At 40.0% G+C, this 20,593-nt stretch overlaps 1 protein-coding gene and 1 long non-coding RNA gene across 7 annotated transcripts in view, besides 2 other annotated features; one reads left to right on the top strand and one right to left on the bottom strand.

Annotated features, from left to right (window-relative positions):
* Nucleotides 1–20,593, top strand: part of RNF212B (ring finger protein 212B) — an 88,142-nt gene that overhangs the window by 8,221 nt on the left and 59,328 nt on the right. The gene's annotated exons all lie outside the window — the stretch shown is intronic.
* Nucleotides 1,326–20,536, bottom strand: LOC105370406 (uncharacterized). 3 transcript variants are annotated; one of them, XR_943606.3, is made up of 4 exons: nucleotides 20,442–20,536; nucleotides 13,737–13,901; nucleotides 7,148–7,306; nucleotides 1,326–1,704 (listed from the first exon to the last, which is right to left on the bottom strand). It is a non-coding gene; the product is annotated as an uncharacterized LOC105370406 (long non-coding RNA). The 3 variants fall into 3 exon arrangements; XR_943605.3 differs by lacking the exon at nucleotides 1,326–1,704 and adding an exon at nucleotides 5,540–6,126; XR_007064078.1 differs by lacking the exon at nucleotides 1,326–1,704 and having other exon boundaries at nucleotides 5,540–7,306.
* Nucleotides 4,469–5,253: an enhancer, noted in NCBI's record as "H3K27ac hESC enhancer chr14:23667234-23668018 (GRCh37/hg19 assembly coordinates)". NCBI's record gives its function as "activates a minimal SCP1, AML or CMV promoter by ChIP-STARR-seq in primed H9 embryonic stem cells {active_cell/tissue: H9 hESC(primed)}" and the evidence as "EXISTENCE:reporter gene assay evidence [ECO:0000049][PMID:30033119]".
* Nucleotides 12,840–13,445: an enhancer, noted in NCBI's record as "OCT4-NANOG-H3K27ac hESC enhancer chr14:23675605-23676210 (GRCh37/hg19 assembly coordinates)". NCBI's record gives its function as "activates a minimal SCP1, AML or CMV promoter by ChIP-STARR-seq in naive and primed H9 embryonic stem cells {active_cell/tissue: H9 hESC(naive and primed)}" and the evidence as "EXISTENCE:reporter gene assay evidence [ECO:0000049][PMID:30033119]".

Consider the following 20,593-nt stretch of genomic DNA (forward strand, 5'->3'; position numbering starts at 1 on the left):
GCCTGGAACATAGTACCCAGGGGGCGGATTTATGTTTTTATCTAATGAGTCTAAGAAGAACTAGCGATAGTGACACAGAAAAGCAAGCAAATGAAAACATGAGGCAAGTATTAACTTCAAGGAATTGTTTGATTTGGCTCAGCAATAAAGAATATGTAGATAGTCATAATAACGCATACCAGTAGAAGATTTAACAAAAAAAAAAAAGGAAGAATGGAAAGAGAAGAAGAGTGGGGGTAGTTATTAGAAGTTTTGTAGTACAATATGACTTTTAAAACCATATACTATCTTTCTTTTTTTCTGAGATGGAGTGTCACTCTTGTTGCCCAAGCTGGAGTGCAGTGGCGCGATCTTGGCTCACTGCAACCTCCGCCTCCTGGGTTCAAGCGATTCTCCTGCCTCAGCCTCCCAAGTAGATGGGATTACAGGAGCCTGCCGCTACGCCTGGCTAATTTTTGTATTTTTAGTAGAGACAGGGTTTCACCATGTTGGCCAGGCTGGTCTGGAACTCCTGACCTCAGGTGATCCACCCGCCTCGGCCTCCCAAAGTGCTGGGTTTACAGGCATGAGCCACCATTCCTGGCCTCATATACTATCACTTAAAAATTAAAAACAAAAGAGGAAAATAGGTAGCAGACAAGCACTACATAAACATGGCAGCAATGGTATTATCAGTCACATTAGAATTTAAGGCAAAAAGCATCAATATATATAAAGGAGGCCAATATAAAATAATTAAAAGAACACTCAAGAAGATATGACAATCTTGAACTTCTAAGTACCTAAAAATAAGGCTTGAAATAGATGAAGAAAAAATTGATAGAATTGAAAAACAAATTTGGAAAATTTGCAATCATTGGGAGAAATTTTAATGTACCTCTATTAGAAGCTGATAAATCAGCCAGGCGCAGTGACACACACCTATAATCCCAGCACTTTGGGAGGCTGAGGTGGGCAGATCATCTGAGCTCAGGAGTTTGAGACCACCCTGGGCAACATGGTGAAACTGCATCTCTACTAAAATAAAAATTATCTGGGCGTGGTAGCACCCACCTGTAGTCCCAGCTATGTGGGAGGCTGAGGCATGAGAATCGCATGAGCCCGGGAGATGGAGGTTGCAGTGAGCCGAGATCGTGCCACTGCACTCCAGCTTGGGCTACAGAGTGAGACTCTGTCTCAAAAAAAAAAAAAAAAAAAAAAACAACGCTGCTGTATCAAACAGGCCAGAAAAATTAGTAAACAGATAAAATATTTGAACAAATTAGCAAGCTTGATCTAACAGATTTCTAAAGAACTGTGCATTAAAAAATAGAGACTATACATTATTTCCAAGTATGCATGGTATATTTAAAAACATTTCGATTTACTGGGTCACAGAGGAGCTCTAGAAATTTCAAAGATGTGAAATCATACAGCATCACACAGATTCTTGGGTCACAATGAAATTAAATTAGCAATCAACAATTAAAATAGAAAATAAGGTAAAGACTTTTGGGAAATTTGAAAATGAACGAAATAACTCGGTTAAATAATAATAATGGAAATGAAATAACTAGAAGTTAACTGACAATGAAAGTACTGCATATAGGAGCCAGGTGTTGTGGTGCACGTCTACAGTCCCAGCTATTTGGGAGGCTGAGGTGGAAGGATTGCTTGATCTCAGGAGTTCAAGTCCAGCTTGGGCAACATAGTGACACTCTGTCTCTAAAGAAAAAAAAAAAACCCATGAGATGCAGCTAAAGTAGTATTCTGAGGTAAATGTAAAGTCTCACAGATTTAGAAAACATGGAAGATTTATAATAAATGAATTAAGCTATCAGAGGAACCAAATGGAATTATAAGCGCTTGACTCGTAGCCCATCTTCACCATATCTCTTGTCTACCTCTAAGGCTTCGATGTCCTTTGTTCCCATGATTCACCCTCACTGCTCTGGAACCAATTGTTTTGTAATGCTCTTCCTTCATTATAGTCTCATTTCTATTCAGTAATTCAATTTAGTGCTAATTCTCCCCTACTTCATGCACTCATTTCGTGTGCTCAGTATCTTCTTCCAACACTCCCTGGACCTCCACACCTCAAATGAAACCTGTGCTCTCCCGACAGCACATCCACCCTCCTAATACTCCTCAGTAGAGATGGGTCCTTGCCATGTTCTGATGGCACCTGGACGGTGGAAGGGACTAGCATGTATTGAGCAATCACTATGTGCCAGACACTTCATGTAACAAGGAATTTCATCATGTTTAATTTCGTTTAACCTTCCAAACAACCTTTCAAGGTAAACGTTGTTTTGCATTTTACAAAGGAGGAAACGGGTTCAAAATTATGTGACTTGCCAAGGACACACACAATGGCAGAGCTGTAATTGGACTCTAAATCTTGATTGACCTCACTGCATTTGCTCTTTTCACTGTGCCACGGGAGAAAAAAGGTACAACATTCTTTTCTGTCTCAGTTGCTTTCAATCATGACATTGTTATTTCTCAATTCTTCTCTGGATGCTTACTACCACTTGGTCACATCCTCAATTGCTGCTGTCTACTGACCTCTGAAAACTTCCTTATGAACGGGAGCACCTGGCTTAGCATTTACTCTGCAAATCAGAGCCTAGACACTTAGCCACCATGGAAAAGTGCCTTTTACCAGGTGCCGAAAAATTTCTTTCTGATTGTAACTACCAATCCTCTGAGTGCCCACTGTCTCTCTGTCATTATTCTTTCTGCTCTTTCTCCAGCCTGCCCCGCTCCGCCATTATCATGCCAAAATGCATGGCCCAACCTCCAGCTGGCTTCCAAGCCCACTCTGCGTCACCACTGCTCTCTGTGCCACAGCCACACCAACCTCCTTTCAGTCCTCAGATGACCTACCAAAGGGCTCAAAAAAACAAAAACAAAAACATAGAAACAGGGGCCTGCTCTGTCACACGGGCTGGAGGGCAGTGGAGTGATCATAGCTCACTACAGCCTTGAATTCCTGGGCTCAAGCAATCCTCCCGCCTCAGCCTCCTGAGTAGCTAGGACTACAGGGCTGCACCACCATGCCCAGCTAATTTTTAAAATATTTTTATAGAGATGGGGTCTTGCTATGTTGCCCAGGCTGATCTTGAACTCCTGGTCTCAAGCAATCCTCCTGCCTAGGCCTCCTAAAGTGCTGGGATTACAGGCATGAGCCACTGTTCTAGGGCCCAAAGGGCTTTTTTTGTGTCCATGCTCTTCCTTCTGCCTAGAGGCTTCTCTTCGCCCTTAGCCTAGTTCACTGCTATTCATCCTTCTGATTTAGCACAATTGTTACTTCCTCAAAGAAGCCCCCACCCACCCCATTCCTGGCCCTAGAGTGTGTTCTTTGTTTCAGAGTCCTCACTTGTGATAACTAGAGTGATTTTATGATTAATGTCTACCTCCCCATCTAGACTGCAAACTCCATGAGTGCAGGGACAATGGTGCTTTTTTTGCTCACTAATGTCTTCAGGGCCCAGTACAGTGCCTAGGACTAAGTAGGTACCCAATTTAAAATTGCTGAATGAATGTATATAGGACATGTATGTGGTAACACTTGGTGGACAGTTGGATATATGGTATCCCTAGCCCAGGAGAAAGATTTGGGCTAAAAAATCATATTTAAGTGTTATTAGTACATAAGTGGTCACTGATGTTATCATCCAGAAAGGGTGAGAAAAATATAACGAGAGGCCAGGCACTGTGGCTCACGCCTGTAAGCCCGGCACTTTGGGAGGCTGAGGCAGGTGGATTTCATGAGGCCATGAGTTTGAGACCAGCCTGGCCAACATGGTGAAACCCTGTCTCTACTAAAAATACAAAAATTAGCCATGTGTGGTGGTACATGCCTGTAGTCCCAGCTACTTGGGAGGTCGAGGCATGAGAATTGCTTGAACCCGGGAGGCGGAGGTTGCAGTGAGCTGAGATCATGCCACTGCACTCCAGCCTGGCAACAGAGCGAGACTCCATCTCAAAAATAATTTTCACTAATTTGCCTATATTAAAAGTAAATATTAAATAAGCAAATTAAAAATTATTTAAAAAAACAAATATAATTAAAAAATAATAAAAAATATTGTATAATAAAGAATTTCAAACATTCCCCAAAGGAGAGAGAATAATACAATGAACTCTCATGTATCAGAATCCTCACCCAGATTCTACAATTATCAAGATTTTGCTATGTTGTTTTATCTACCTATTTCCCCCTTCTATGTCTTGTCTTCTTTTTTTTTTTTTTGAGCAACATGGCTGTTTATTTCACCTGGGTGCAGGCGGGCTGAGTCCAAAAAGAGAGTCAGCGAAGGGAGATAGGGGTGGGGCCATTTCATAGGATTTGGGAAGGTAATGGAAAATTACAGTCAAAGGGGGTTGTTCTCTGGTGGGCAGGCGGGGATCTCACAAAGTACATTCTTAAGGGCGGGGGAGATTACAAAGTACATTGATCAGTTAGGGTGGGGCAGGAACAAATCACAATGGTGGAATGTCATCAGTTAAGGCTGTTTTTACTTCTTTTGTGGATCTTCAGTTACTTCAGGCCATCTGGATGTGTACGTGCAAGTCACAGGGGATGCGATGGCCTGGCCTGGGCTCAGAGGCCTGACATTCCTGCCTTCTTATATGTCTTGTCTTCTTTACTGAAATGTTTAAAAAATAACTACAGACATCATGCTATTTCATCCCCACATATCTCAATAAGCACCTCTGAAAAAAATTATGGAATTGTCTTACATAACTCAAGGCCATTATCACACCTAATGAAATTAACAATAATTCCTTGGTATCAACTAATATCCAGTTTATAATCAAATTTCTTCAAATATCAAAAAAGGTCCACATACTGGAGCCAAGCGTGGTGGCTCACGCCTGAAATCTGAGCACTTTGGGAGGCGGAGGAGGGTGGATCACCTGAGGTCAGGAGACCTGCCTAGCCAACATAGTGAAACCCCCGTCTCTACTAAAAATAAAAAAAATCAGCTGGGCGTGGTGGCGGGTACCTGTAATCCCAGCCACTAGGGAAGCTGAAGCGGGAGAATCACTTGAACCTGGGAAGCAGAGGTTGCAGTGAGCCGAGATCGCGCCATGGCACTCCAGCCTGAGAACAAGAAAACTCTGTCCAAAAAAAAAAAAAGGTCCACGTACTGTATGTAAACACTATACTCTAGCTGGTAAGTCTGTTTCTCATGGTATATGGGTTAATAGTTCTCAAACGGCTTTACATATGTACTGGGGCTGAACAAATAAGTAAATGTATAGTGGATTTTGGGAGGAAGGGTTTTCACTATCAGAAAGAGAAGTAACATATAAGCAAGGAGGGAAAAATAGAATGAGCCCTTGGGTAGTGGATTAGAGTTGGTTAGCTAGCTTGGTATATATATAGACAGAAATATGTGTATATACATGAGTCGGTATACACACAAATATTACCTAGTGCTATACCTCACGCTGTCCACTGAGAGGGCCTAGAGGCAATGACACCCCCATAGCAATGGGCACATCTTGTGTCCAGATTTTGGTTTCAAAATACTGTGAACTCTGAAAATTTGAGACAGGTCTCAGTTAATTGTTTATTTTGCCAAGGTTGGGGACATGTGTCCGTGACAGCCTCAGGAAGTCCTGAAGACCTGTGCCCAAGGTGGTTGGGGTACAGCTTAGTTTTATACATTTTAGGGAGGCATGAGACATCAATCAATATATGTAAGAAGTACATTGGTTCAGTCTGGAAAGGCAGGAAGACTTGAAGTGGGGAGGAGGCTTCCAGGTCACAGATAGGTGATACACAAATGGTTACATTCTTTTGAGATTCTGTTAGCCTTTCCAAAGGAGGCAATCAGATATGCATCTATCTCAGTGAGCACAGGGGTGACTTTGAATAGAATGGGAGGCAGCTTTGCCCTAAGCAGTTCCCAGCTTGACTATTCCCTTTAGCTTAGTGATTTGGGGGCCCCAAGCTTTAATTTCCTTTCATATTTCCCCCCTTTCTTTTCAAAAATCTTTTGGAGAAGGCATTTTACAAGAAAATGAATCTCTGGTCTCAGGTTTCATTTGATCTCTCATGGCAAGGATGGTTTATTCCTAGACAGGTAGGTCCCGAACGAAGATTTTTAGCAGGTTGTGAAGTCTCATGTCCTATGAAGGAAAAATAGTGGGGAGGAAGGGAGAAAAAACAACAACAAACAAAAGAACATTCTTGGAAAATCTATATAGGCCACATTTCTCTGAAGTCTATAGTCAGTAGGCAGGTATGTAAATTGGTTGCTGTTATTTTCTTCTGAAGTTTAAGTTGTTTAGTCTCAGTTAGCTGGGCTTTAAGAAAGCACAGCTTAGTTTTCAGTGACTCCTAATTAGGAAACATGGGAAAAAAAGAAGGGAAAAAAAAGAAAAAGTTGAAAACATTATTTTGAAGACTTGTAGCCAAGAAACAATTAGAATTCAGCCCAAACTGTAGAACATAATAAAAAATTAAAAAAAAAAAAATTAGGCAAGACTAGACTCTAACAACGAGTGTACTATCGTCTTGAAACATTTTTTTCTCTCTCTCTCTAGTTTCCCATTTTACTAAAGATAAATCATGGTAGGATTGGTTTGCTTATTATGCTTGGCCAAATTATTTGTATACAGTTCAGCAAAAATAATTATTTTTTACATAGGCTTTTAAATGGGCTTTGATGAAACTTTGTTCCATAGGAGGAATCTCAGATAAGATTTTAAAGCTGAATCCAGCCATGAATTTGTGCCATCAAATACCTACAAGTTGGGTGAATTTCCTCTCCCCCAACTTTTTTTTTTTGAGACAGATTCTTGCTCTGTCACCCAGGCTAGAGTGCAATGGCATGATCTTGGCCCACTGCAACCTCTGCCTCCTGGGATCAAGCAATTCTCATGCCTCAGCTTCCCAAGTAGATGGGATTACAGGTGCGTGCCACTGTGTCTGGCTAATTTTTGTAATTTCAGCAGAGATGGGGTTTCACCATGTTGGCCAGGCTGGTCTCGAACTCCTGGCCTCAAGTGATCCACCCACCTCGGCCTCCCAAAGTGCTGGGATTACAGGTGTGAGCCACTGTACTTGGTCTGAATTTCCTCTCCTCTTGAGGATCCAAGATAAATCTGGGGCTTCCGTGCCTGTCAGAAAGTGATATTCTTTACTTACCACAGGCCAGAAACCCTGTACACGGACTGTGTACACAAAATATGAGGCCAGTTTTTCCAAGGGCTTTATTGGCTTCTTAAGTCAAGTTTGATTCCTTATAGGAAAGTGCACCATTCCAGTCAAAGCCTTGGTAAAACTACCAGTTTCTTCAATTGTGTCCTGTTAAAAATGAAAACAGATTCTTATTGCACTTATGCAACTAACTGTATTGCCAAAAGTTAAGAAGCTCACAAATAGTTTTCAAATTCTGGAGAAAATCAATTACAGAGAAACAAATATGCTCCAAATTTTGTTCATGGGAGTATACTAAATTGTTGAAAGCTGTCAATAGCTCAAAAGAAAAGTTTTAAGACTCTGAAAAACAGAATAAAGGATCAGCAACATTTTAAGCAAAAAGTCAAAAAGATTAGTTCAGTCCATGCAGTTAATTCCTGTTCTGCTTGATATTCATGAACATTTTAGCTCTCCATGAGTCTTGAAAGTTTTTTCTCTATTCTGATGTCACAATCTCCAAAGCTATCAGAAATCTGCACTCAAGAGCACCTGTTATAGTTTAATAGCTGGTTATAAAACCATCTTCTAAAGAGAACCAAAACAAGGCAACAATTGTCTGTGGATGACAAAAAGTTTTAGGGCAGCCATAGTCAAAAACATAATTGACAAGGGAATTTGTTACCTCTGTGGCACACAGTAATTTTAACTTAACATAACAATTATTGTTATTGATAATGTACACTAAGTTATATTAGAATTATAAGTTTCTCATAATTTTGGAACACATACCAATAACATTTATACAAATACAGCTCAAAGAAACCAAATAACCATTTCATATTTGACAATGCTTCCTGTATAATTTTTATACCAAATAAGCCAAATTATATTATTTTTGGACTTTAGGGAATGTAATATCTTAAAGGAGTAATTAGGTTAGAACAAGACACAATTTATAATTTAATTTTGGAAAGTTTGTCAAATATAAAAGGTTTAAAACACTTGATATTACAAAATAGGATTTCAGGTCATTGTAAAGTCATCTGTTTAACCAAAGTGGTAATTCAAGGATTTCAAAAATAGTGAAAACCTTCATTTATTGAGAGAGGGGACTTAATTTTCTAAACCTGAAGCCCTAATAAAAACAGCATGGAGCCAATTCCACTTGCTTTTCCAAATTTTGTAAGCAATCTATAAAGTTTATTCTTGAGTATAAAATATAACTTCCATAAACCTTTTATAACCTTTATAAACTTTATTAAGGAGTTGGAGGCCGGGCACAGTAGCTCATGCCTGTAATCCCAGCACTTTGTGAGGCCGAGGTGGGTGGACTGCTTGAGGTCCGGAGTTCGAGACCAGCTTGACCAACATGGTGAAACCCTATCTCTACTAAAAATACAAAAATTAGCCAAGCGTGGTGGTGTGCACTTGTAATCCCAGCTATTCGGGAGTCTGAGGCAGGAGAACTGCTTGAACCCAAGAGGAGGAGCTTGCAGTGAGCCGAGATTGCGCAACTGCACTCTAGCCTGGGCAACAGAACAAGACCCTGTCTTAAAAAAAAAAAAAAAAAAGCAGTTGGTTAATGCTTCACAAAAAACTTGTTAATCTAATACAGGGGTCCATATACTGGTTTTTGCATCAGTGTGTTTTTGACACTAATGATTAATTTATAGAGAAACTAAACTTATTTATCTTTCCAAATCGGCCCTTACAATCTTTGATCTTATGTGCCCACCTCTTCCGTGATAGTCCCTGGGCCTTGAGGAGTTGAATAGCTTTAATTTCTTGCCCTGTGTCTCAGGAATGCATTTTATTTTGATTGGCATCTTCTACAGGGCCTAAAGATGAGGCTTTAATTGCTGTCAGTGTTTAGGCTGGGCGTGATGGCTCACGCCTGTAATCCCAGCACTTCGGGAGGCCGAGGCGGGTGGATCACGAGGTCAGGAGATCGAGACCACCCTGGCTTACACGGTGAAACCCTGTCTCTACTAAAAATACAAAAAATTAGCCGGGCATGGTGGTGGGCACCTGTAGTCCCAGCTACTCGAGAGGCTGAGGCAGGAGAATGGCGTGAACCTGGGAGGTGGAGGTTGCAGTGAGCCAAGATTGGTCACTGCACTCTAGCCTGGGCGACAGAGCGAGACCCTGTCTCAAAAAAAAAAAAAAAAAAAATTGCTGTGAGTGTTTAAAATTTAACAGGACTTGGTGTCCATTTTAGACCCAGGAGTTAAAGCCCTCTAACTCAATGTTACAAGGACTTTATTTTATTTCATTTTATTTTGTTTTTTAATTTTTCCATAGGTTTTTTGGGGAACAGGGAGTATTTGGTTACATAACTGAGTTCTTTAGTGGTGATTTGTGAGATTTTGGTGTACCCATCACCCAAGCAGTATACACTGCACCCTATTTGTAGTCTTTTATCTCTCATCCCCCCAACCCTCACCCCCAAGATCCCAAAGTCCCCAAAGTCCATTATATCATTCTTATGCCTGTGTATCTTTATAGCTTAGCTTCCACAGATCAGTGAGAACATATGATGTTTGGTTTTCCATTCCTGGGCTACTTCACTTACAATAATAGTCTCCAATCTCATCTACCACAATTTCTTTATCCACTTGTTGATTGATGGGCATTTGGGTTGGTTCCACGATTTTGCAATTGTGAATTGTGCTGCTATAAACATGTGCGTGCAAATATCTTTTTTGTATAATGACTTCTTTTCCTCTGGGTCTATACCCAGTAGTGGTATTGCTGGATCGAATGGTAGTTCTACTTTTAGTCCCCCTTTTTTTTTTTTTTGAGATGGAGCCTTGCTCTGTCACCCACGCTGGAGTGCAATGGCACGATCTTGGCTCACTGCAATCTCCACCTTCCGGGTTCAAGCAATTCTCATGCCTCAGCCTCTCAAGTAGCTGAGATTATAAGTGTGTGCCACCACACCTGGCTAATTTTGTATTTTTAGTAGAGATGGGGTTTCACCATGTTGGTCAGGCTGGTGTTGAACTCCTGACCTCATGTGATCCACCTGCCTTGGCCTCCCAAAGTGCTGGGATTACAGGCATGAGCCACCATGGTAGGCCTTACTTTAGTTATTTAAGGAATCTCCACACTGTTTTCCCTAGTGGCTGTACTAGTTTACATTACCACCAGTAGTGTAGAAGTGTTCTCTGATCACCGTATCCATGCCAACATCTACAGTTTTTTGATTTTTTGATTATAGCCATTCTTGCAGGAGTAAGGTGGTGTTGCATTGTGGTTTTGATTTGCATTTCCCTGATCACTAGTGATGCTGAGCATACGTTTGTTTGCCATTTGTATATCTTCTCTTGAGAATTGTCTATTCATGTCCTTAGCCCACTTTTTGATGGGATTGTTTGTTTTTTTCTTACTGATTTGTTTGAGTTCGTTGTAGATTCCGGATATTAGTCCTTTGTCAGATGGATAGATTGTGAAGATTTTCTCCCACTCTGTGGGTTGTCTGTTTACTCTGCTGACTGTTCCTTTTGCCGTGCAAAATAACTCTTTAGTTTAATTAAGTCCCAACTATTTATCTTTGTTTTTATTATATTTGCTTTTGGGTTCTTGGTCATGAAATCCTTGCCTAAGCCAATGTCTAGAAGCATTTTTCCAAAATTATCTTCTAGAGTTTTTATAGTTTCAGGTCTTAGATTTAAGTCCTTAATCCATCTTGAGTTGATTTTTGTATAAGGTGAGAGATGAGGATCTAGTTTCATTCTCCTACCTGTGGCTAGCCAATTATCCCAGCGCCATTTATTAAAAAGTGTCCTTTCCCCACTTTATGTTTTTGTTTGCTTTGTCAAAGCTCAGTTGGCTGTAAGTATTTGGTTTATTTCTGGATTCTCTATTCTGTTCCATTGGTGTATGTACCTATTTTTATACCAGTACCATGCTGTTTTGGTGACTATGACCTTATAGTATAGTTTGAAATCAGTTAGTGTGATACCTCCAGATTTGTCCTTTTTGCTTAGTCTTGCTTTGGCTATGCAGGCACTTTTTTCATTCCATATGAAGTTTAGAATTGTTTTTTCTAATTCTATGAAGAATGATGGTGGTATTTTGATGGGGATTGTGTTGTATTTTGATGGGGATTGTGTATGGTCATTTTCACAATATTGATTCTACCCATCCATGAGCATGGGGTATATTTTCATTTGTTTCTGTCGTCTATGATTTCTCTCAGCAGTGTTTTGTACTTTTCCTTGTAGAGGTCAACAAGGACTTTAAAAGCACGTATAGAAAGATACATGGATGAAATATCTTAGTTTAAAAAAAGTTTTAACTCAGTTTTTTTCCTAAGCAAACCAAAACTTAATAATAATATTTGGACTTTCTGGTTTGTCCTGAACATCCCTCCTTCTTAATCAACCAGTCATTTTTATTTTAGGACTAAACATTTACTATAAAAGATTCTTTCTCATATACAATTATTTCTCTTTAAGCTTTCTTACTACACACACAAAAAATCTCTTTATTTTTATAACTTTCTTTACTTCTGTTTTTTATTTCCTGGTTCCTTTTACCTTGTTTTATACAGAGCCTTTAAATGAGCTTGGAATTAGACAAAAATTTTTCTCTTTTTTTTAAAAAAAGGACACCCTTTTTTTTTTTTAAGCAAGAATGTTTTCCTACAATATATATTTATTGGAAAATACCCAAATAATAAAATACCTATTATTGAATTTAACTTTATTTCTAAATTGTGACCAGTTTGTCTGCAAGTATTTGTCCCATTACATTTACCTAATTATTTTATTTTAATTCTTTACCTAGATTATTTACGAAAACTGTGATAGTCATGATTTAAAACTATGAAGCTGCCATTGCAAGATTATAACTGAGACAGTGGAAAAAGTTTTGACCTAACTGACTCCATATTGCTCTTAACCTCCAAGCTGTCCTTGTTCATTCCTGGGCATGGGCTGAACTAACTTTGGGAAGGAACTGAGTTTATAGTTTAGCTTTGAAACAAAGACAATAACAGTCCTTTCCCAAAACAAACCTCCTTACTGTCTGTGGACCAGACTGTCTAAAGCCACAGGATTAGAAGTTATGGCAATCTTATTAAATTCAAAATGCAGCTATTTTTATTAAACCCATATCAATGTCTTATTTACTAAAAATTACACAAGCATAGATCATTCTGTTTTGGCCTGGGTTTATAGTTTTGTAACTTCTATGCCAAATTTTGACACCTTACATTATTTGGCAGGGTAAGTATGAAATTTGCTTGATTAATAATGCAAACAAAGTGTATGCTGGCAATTCTTTAGATATTTCTAATAGTACTTTACCAGTAATTTTAAAGCTAGTTTATTTATTAAAGATTTTACTTATTACATAAACCTGAAAAAGCATTTGACTAGTCTTTTTTTTTGAGACGGAGTCTTGCTCTGTCAGCCAGGCTGGAGTGCAGTGGCAGGATCTCATCTCACTGCAACCTCTGCCTCCTGGGTTCAAGCCATTCTCCTGCCTCAGCCTCCCCAGTAGCTGGGATTATAGGTGCACACCACCATGGCCAGCTAATTTTTGTATTTTTAGTAGATACAGGGTTTCACCACGTTGGCCAGGCTGGTCTTGAACTCCTGACCTCTTGATCCACCTGCTTTGGCCTCCCAAAGTGCTGGGATTACAGGCGTGAGCCACCGTGCCCGGCCTAGTCTTTTCTTTTTCAGTATCTGATTTACATGCTTGTATTTTTCTTTAAGCCAATTAGTTAGAGCTCTTTCATATATTTTTAGTAGTGAAACATTTTGTACACAACACATAAATATATATAAAGACGTATTAGGCATGCCGACAGCAGTACATTTTATACATTTATAAAGACCCTCACCCCCTTTTCTTTTTTCCTTTCTTAGACTGTCAAGATTCTTGATAACCTGTTTCACAAACCTAGGCAGTTGTCAGCTAAATAGCCTTAAATTTGCACATTAAAGGAAACAACTCAGGTGAAAATCAAATAGCAAAATTTACATCATAAGGTAGAGAGAGAAAAAATGTGGTGGTGCTAGAGGGAGACACTTTTATTTTTCTTTGAGTCAAATTAAACATAAAATTAAACTATACTCTGTCTTAAAAACCCAAGAGTAGCCTCTGTTGCAGTAACTATTTTAGCAAAACAAACAAACAAACAAAAAATCAGGTGAAAACAGAATTCAGATAACTGAGAAGAAAAAGAAAAACAAACTTTCGTTAAAAAAAAAAAGACAAGGTCTTAGAAGAGAAAAACAACAACAACAAACAAAAACATGAAGGCCTTTCAAATACAAACATGCACACATACACACACACATCTTGGGTGTGTTATCCTTTTAATTAAGCTGATTTTTAACCATTGAGCTGCTTAAAATTTTTTTTCTTTAAATCTTATTACCATATTTCAGCTAGGACAAAATGCTGCTATTTCAGAAGTACAGCCAACAACAAGAGTTAAGCGAAACTAACAATGATCACACAACATACGATTTCTGAGTGTTCTAAGTGTAAGTAGGAATTAACACCAGCTGGCTGGTAAATGCTAACTTTAGTCATTTAAAAGGAATTGGCAAGACAGAATCCCAAACCAGTTTCTTACCTAGTGATGGGTCTCAGGCTGTAGACTGCTCTCTACTATTCTAGAGGCAGGAAAAAAAACCTCATCTTCCCTGTTGGAAGCCAGCTCAAATTCCATAAAGGAGTTACCTGCCTTTCATCGTCATGGAAGGAGGAAAACTTGCCTTCCTGTTGGAAGCAAGTAAAACTACAAAAAACAAAAAGAAGAGTTGTACAGCAAAATAAACTTTAGATCTCCACCAAATTTGGGGAGATCAGGCATTCTCTGTAGAGGGTATTTTCAGACCTCAGCAAATTGTCCTATTAGTTTGAGCCATAGAGTTAGCTCATGCTGGTACCAAGCACAGATAGGAGATTTGTCAAAGGTCGGGGGCAACTCCACTCAGAATCCTCCCATGGTTACCAAAATGCGAATCCTGAAAATTTGAGACAGGTCTCAGTTAATTTAGAAAGTTTATTTTGCCAAGGTTGAGAACACGCCCCTCCATGACACAGCCTCAGGAAGTCCTGACAACATGTGCCCAAGGTGGTCGGGGTACAGCTTAGTTTTATACATTTTAGGAAGACATGAGACATCAATCAATATATGTAAGAATAACATTGGTTCAGTCTGGAAAGGTGGGACAACTTGAAGCAAAGGTAGGCAGACTCTAAGCGGAGAGGGGGCTTCCAGGTCACAGATAAATGAGACATTGCATTCTTTTGAGTTTCTGTTAGCCTTTCCAAAGGAGGCAATCAGATATGCATCTATATCAGTGAGTACAGGGGTGACTTTGAAGAGAATGGGAGGCAGGTTTGCCCTAAGCAGTTCCCAGCTTGACTATTCCCTTTAGCTTAGTGATTTGGGGGCCCCAAGATTTATTTCCTTTCACAATAAGGGCAACCTGGGCTCCTTGGAGAAATGGCTTTTAGAGCTGGGTCAAGGAAAGCACGAGATGAGTGTGGCACATTTCAAAAGACTTAGGAGTCAGCCGGATGTGGTGGCTCACACTTGTAATTCCAGCACATTGGACGAGAAGATCACTGGAGGCCAGGAGTTTGAGACCCTGTCCCTCCAAAAATAAATAAATACATAAATTAGTCCAGAGTGATGGTGTGTGCCTGTAGTTCTAGCTACCTGGAAGATTGGAGCTGGAGAATAACTTGAGCCCAGGAGTTCAAGACTGCAATGAGCTATGATCACACTGCACTCTAGAATGGGTGACAGAGTGAGATCCTATCTCTAAAAAAAATGACATAGGAGTCAATCTGAAAGTGCTCTTCCATGGCCAAAGCTGGAATAATTTGAGCAACAAAATAAGTAGCACAGTATTGTTACAGGAAAGGGGCCCAGACCCAGACCCCAAGAGAGAGTTCTTGGATCTCACTCAAGAAAGAACTCAGGGTGAGTCTGCAGTGCAAAGTGAAAGCAAGTTTATTAAGAAAGTAAAGGAATAAAAGAATGGCTACTTCACAGACAGAGCAGTCCCAAGGGCTGCTGGTTGCCGTTTTTTTTTTTTTTTTTTTGAGACGGAGTCTCACTCTGTCGCCCAGGCTGGAGTGCAATGGCGCGATCTCAGGTCACTGCAAGCTCTGCCTCCCAGGTTCACGCCATTCTCCTGACTCAGCCCCCTGAGTAGTTGGGACTACAGGTGCCCGCCACTACGCCTGGCTAATTTTTTGTATTTTTAGTAGAGACGGGGTTTCATCGTGTTAGCCGGGATGGTCTCGATCTCCTGACCTCGTGATCCGCCCGCCTTGGCCTCCCAGAGTGCTGGGATTACAGGCGTGAGCCACCGTGCCCGGCCTGGTTGCCCATGTTTATGGTTATGTATTGATGATATGCTAAACAAGGGGTGGATTATTCATGCCTCCCCTTTTTAGACCATATAAGATAACTTCCTGACGTTGCCATGGCATTTGTAAACTGTCATGGTGCTGGTGGGAGTGTAGCAGTAAGGACGACCAGAGGTCACTCTCGTAGCCATTTTGGTTTTGGTGGGTTTTGGCCGGTTCCTTTACCGCAACCTGTTTTACCAGCAAGGTCTTTATGACCTGTATTTTGTGCTGACCTATCTCATCCTGTGACTTAGAATGCCTTAACCATCTGGGAATGCAGCTCAGTAGGTTTCAGCCTCATTTTACCCAGCTCCTATTTAAGATGGAGTTGCTCTGGTTCACACACCTCTGACAGTATTAGATTATAATCCAATGTATAAAATGTGTAAAAGTATCTAATATTAGATATCCAATGTATAAAATATACATGCCTCCATACTGATATAAACAAATGATTGACTAAAAGACTAAATGGTGGAGTGGAAACAAATCTTTACAGAATACTTTGACTTCCAAATTTTAAATAATATATGTAGATACTTTTTCTTGCAGGAGGTAATGCTTAACCACTTTGAGGGTAGGCTGGATTGAGGGACTCTCTTTCAAAGAATAGATGGAAAGGGAAAAATAGTAACTTTACAGTGGAGAAACCTGGCAACCACTCTCTTAAACAACAACTCAAAATTAATATCATCAGTTAGATATATGGATATCATGTACCCCTGATACAACATGATGACAGGGCACTTTGCCTCTGTGATTCTTTTAAAACATCTATGACTGGCCCAGTGAGGTGACTCAAACCTGTAATCACAGCACTTTGGGAGGCCGAGGTGGGCTGATCACTTGAAGCCAGGAGTTTGAGACCAGCCTGGCCAACATGATGAAACCCTGTCTCTGTTAAAAATACAAAAATTAGCTGGCATGATGTGTGTGCCTGTAATCCCAGCTACTGGGGAGGCTGAGGCAGGAAAATTGCTTGAACCTGGAAGGTGGAGGTTGCAGGGAGCCAAGATTGCACCACTGCACTCCGCCTGGGCAATAGAGTGAGACTGTCTCAAAACACGAACAAACAAAATAAACAAATACCCCTATGACTAAGTTGAATCATGATACAAGCATCAGACAAGCCCAAACTGAGGGACATTCTACAAAACACATGACCCATTTTCCTTAAAACCGTCAAGCTCATGAAACACAATGAAAGATTGAGAAACCGTCTCTGACCAGAGAATGCTAATGAGACATGACAATGAAACGCAGTGCGGTATATAGGCTTGGACTGTAGAACAGAGAAAGGATATTAGTAGGAAAATGAGATTTGAACAAAGTCTGGAGTTTAGTTAATTATAATGTGCCAATGTTGGTTTCTCAGTTTTGACAAATATCACATAGAAATGTAGGATGGGGTGGGCGTGGTGGCTCACGCCTATAATCCCAGAACTTTGGGAGGCTGAGGCGGGTGGATCACGAGGTCAGGAGTTTGAGACCAGTCTTGCCAACATAGTGAAACCCCGTCTCTACTAAAAATGCAAAAAATTAGCTGGGTGTGGTGGTGTGAGCCTGTAATCCCAGCTACTCAGGAGGCTGAGGCAGGAGAATTGCATGAGCCCAGGAGGTGGAGGTTGCAGTGAGCCAGGATCACGCCATTGCCCTCCAGTCCAGGTGACAGTGTGAGACTCTGTCTCAAAAAAAAAAAAAAAAAAAGAAATGTAGGATGATAACATTAGGGAAAACTGAAACTGGGTGAAGGATATCCAGGAACTCTCTGTACTACCTTTGCAAACTTTCCTGTAAATCTAAAATTATTCCAAAATAAAAAGCTATTTTACAAAAAGATAATGAATAAGATAATGTTATAAACAGTGTTAAAGCAACAAATTCACTTTGGGAGGCCAAGGTGGACAGATCACGAGGTCAGGACTTCGAGACCAGACTGGCCAACATAGTGAAACCCCGTCTCTACTGAAAATAAAAAAATTAGCTGGTCGTGATGGCGTACGCCTGTAATCCCAGCTACCTGGGAGGCTGAGGCAGGAGAATTGCTTGAATCTGGGAGGTGAAAGTTGTGGTGAGCTGAGATTGCACCACTGCCCTCCAGCCTGGGCAACAGAGTGAGACTCTGTCTCAAAAAAAAAAAGAAAGAAAAAGCAACAAATTGAACAACTTAGATAAAAATGGACGAACTCCTTGAAAGACATAAACTACTAAAACACAGGCAAGATGAATAGATAACCTAAATATCTCTATACCTATTAATATAATTGAATTTGTAGCTAAAAATCTTCCCACAAAGAAAACTCCAGGCTTAGATGGCTTCACTGGTAAGTTCTACCAAACATTTAAGAAAAAAATAATGCCAATTCTACACAAATACTCCCCAAAAGTTAAAGAGAAAGGAATAGTTCCCCAATGATTCTTAGAGGTCAGCATTATTCAGATACCAAAATCATACAAAGATCGTACCAGAAAACTAAAGACCAGTTCCTCTCACGAACATAAATGCAGCAAATAAAATCAAACAATGCATAAAAAGGATAATACGTCATGAACAAATTTATCCCAGGAACACATAATTGATTTAACATTCAAAAACAATGTAATTCACCATAGAGACACACTTAAAAAATAAAAATTAGTATTATTATTTTTGAGACAGAGTCTCCCACTGTCACCCAAGCTGGAGTGCAGTGGTGCAAACTTGGCTCACTGAAACCTCTGCCTCCAGGATTCAAGCATTTCTCTCGCCTCAGTCTCCCAAGTAGCGAGGACTACAGGCACATGCCACCATACCTGGCTAATTTTTTTGTACTATTTTTAGTAGAGACAGGGTTTTGCCATGTTGGCCAGGCTGGTCTTGAAGTCCTGACCTCAAGTTATCTGCCCTCCTCAGCCTCCCAAAGTGCTGGGATTACAGGCATGAGCCACCGTGCCTGACCAAAAAAGAAAAATTATATTAACAGATACAGCAAAAGCATTTAACACAATCCAATATCCAATCCTGACTTTAAAAAAATCTCAACAAATTAGAAATAGAAGGGAACATCCTTGAAAGGGCACTTAGGAGAAAATTGTAGCCAGCCTTATACATAATGGTGAAATACTGAATGCTTTTTCCCTATGATCAAGACTAACACAAGGATGTCTGCCTTCACCACTTCTCTTCAACATTATGCCGATGGCTATGGCCACTGCAGTTAGGCAAGAAAAAATAAAGGTATACAAACTGGAAAGGAAGAAGGAAAACTGTTTTTCTTTTTTTGAGCTCTACTGCTTAAGAAGTAAAACTTAAAAGTGTTTTTACTCACAGACGGCATGATTATCTATCTAGAAAATCAAATGGAATCTGTGAAAAAGCTCTATAATAATGGGGTTTGAAAAGTTTGTAGAATACAAGATCAATAACAGAAAAATCAGTTGTACTTCTACACAATAAGCAATCAGAAATTTAAACTTTATTTTTTATTTTTAAATTTTATTTTATTTTATTTATTTATTTATTTTTGAGACAGAGTCTCGCTCTGTCGCCCAGGCCCAGGCTGGAGTGCAGTGGCGCAGTCTCGGCTCACTGCAAGCTCCGCCTCCTGGGTTCACACTATTCTCCTTTATTTTTTAATTTAATAGAGATGGAGTCTTGCTATGTTGCCCAGGGTGGTCCCCTCCCACCTCAGCTTCCCAAAGTGCTGGGATTACAGGTGTGATTCACCATGCCCAGCCAGAAATTTAAATTCTAAAAGACAATACCACTTTTTAGTTTTTGTTTATTTTTCTAAAATTATTTACTTTATTTCTTTTTACAATTTTTTGAAGTAATTTCTTTTTTGCCAGCCTAATAGTAGATTTCAGACATTATCATTTATGATAATATCAGCAAATATAAAATTATTAGGGATAAATCTGATAAAACATGTAAAAGACCTGTACACTAAAAATTATAACACAGGCCGGGCATGGTGGGTTATGCCTGTAATCCCAGCACTTTGGGAGGCCGAGGTGGGCATATCACAAGGTCAGGAGATCGAGACCATCCTGGCTAACACAGTGAAACCCCGTCTCTACTAAAAAATACAAAAAATTAGCCGGGCGTGGTGGCAGGCGCCTGTAGTCCCAGCTACTCGGGAGGCTGAGGCAGGAGAATGGCGTGAACCCGTGAGGCGGAGCTTGCAGTGAGCCGAGATCGCACCACTGCACTCCAGCCTGGGCGACAGAGTAAGACTCCGTCTTAAAAAAAAAAAAAATTATAAAACGTTACTGAGAGAAATTAAAGAAGACCTAAATAAATGAAGAGATATACTTTGTTCATGAGATGGAAGACTCAATATTGTTAAGAAGTCAATTTTTCCCAATTTGATCTATAGATTCAATGCATTTCCAATAAAAATTCCACCAGGAGTCATGAGGCGGAAAGAAGAAGTATTGAGACAATTCATCCACATTCTCCTGTCCCTCTGGGTATCAGCAAATCACTGCAGAGAGCTAAACTTCCACCCCGACTCGGCAGCAAGAAGGTGGTGGGAGTCAGTGCTCAGCTTTTCCTGGAAAGGTGTCAGTGGGACCCAGTGGGGAGCTGAACATTTACCACTTTTAGGAACTGTGTGCTCTACCTAAACAGGGTGACTGCATGCCAAATGAAGAAAGAAAGAGAGAGAAGAAGTGAGGAAGAGAGGTAGAGAGAGAGAAAGAGAGGCAGAGAGAGAAAATGATTCAGCCTCACAAAATAATACTCAAAATGCTTAGTATATAATCAAAAAGCACTCATCATACAAGAACCAGGAAAATCTCAGTTTAAATGGAAAAAACCCCAACAGTCAACAGGCACTAACATTTCAGTGTTACATAGATGTTAGCCTTATCTAACAAGGATTTTAAAGGAGCCACCATAAAAAGTGCTTCAATGAATTGGGTGTACCTGTAGTCCTAGCTGCTTGAGAGGCTAGCACAGGAGGATCACTTGAGCCCAGGAGTTCGAGGTTGTAGTGTGCTGTAATGTAATCCATAGGCAACATAGTGAGACTCTGTATCTTTTTTAAAAAAGCTTCAATAAACAATTACAAAAACACT

The sequence above is a fragment of the Homo sapiens genome, chromosome 14 (genome assembly GCF_000001405.40).
Source record: "Homo sapiens chromosome 14, GRCh38.p14 Primary Assembly".
Lineage (NCBI taxonomy): Eukaryota > Metazoa > Chordata > Mammalia > Primates > Hominidae > Homo > Homo sapiens.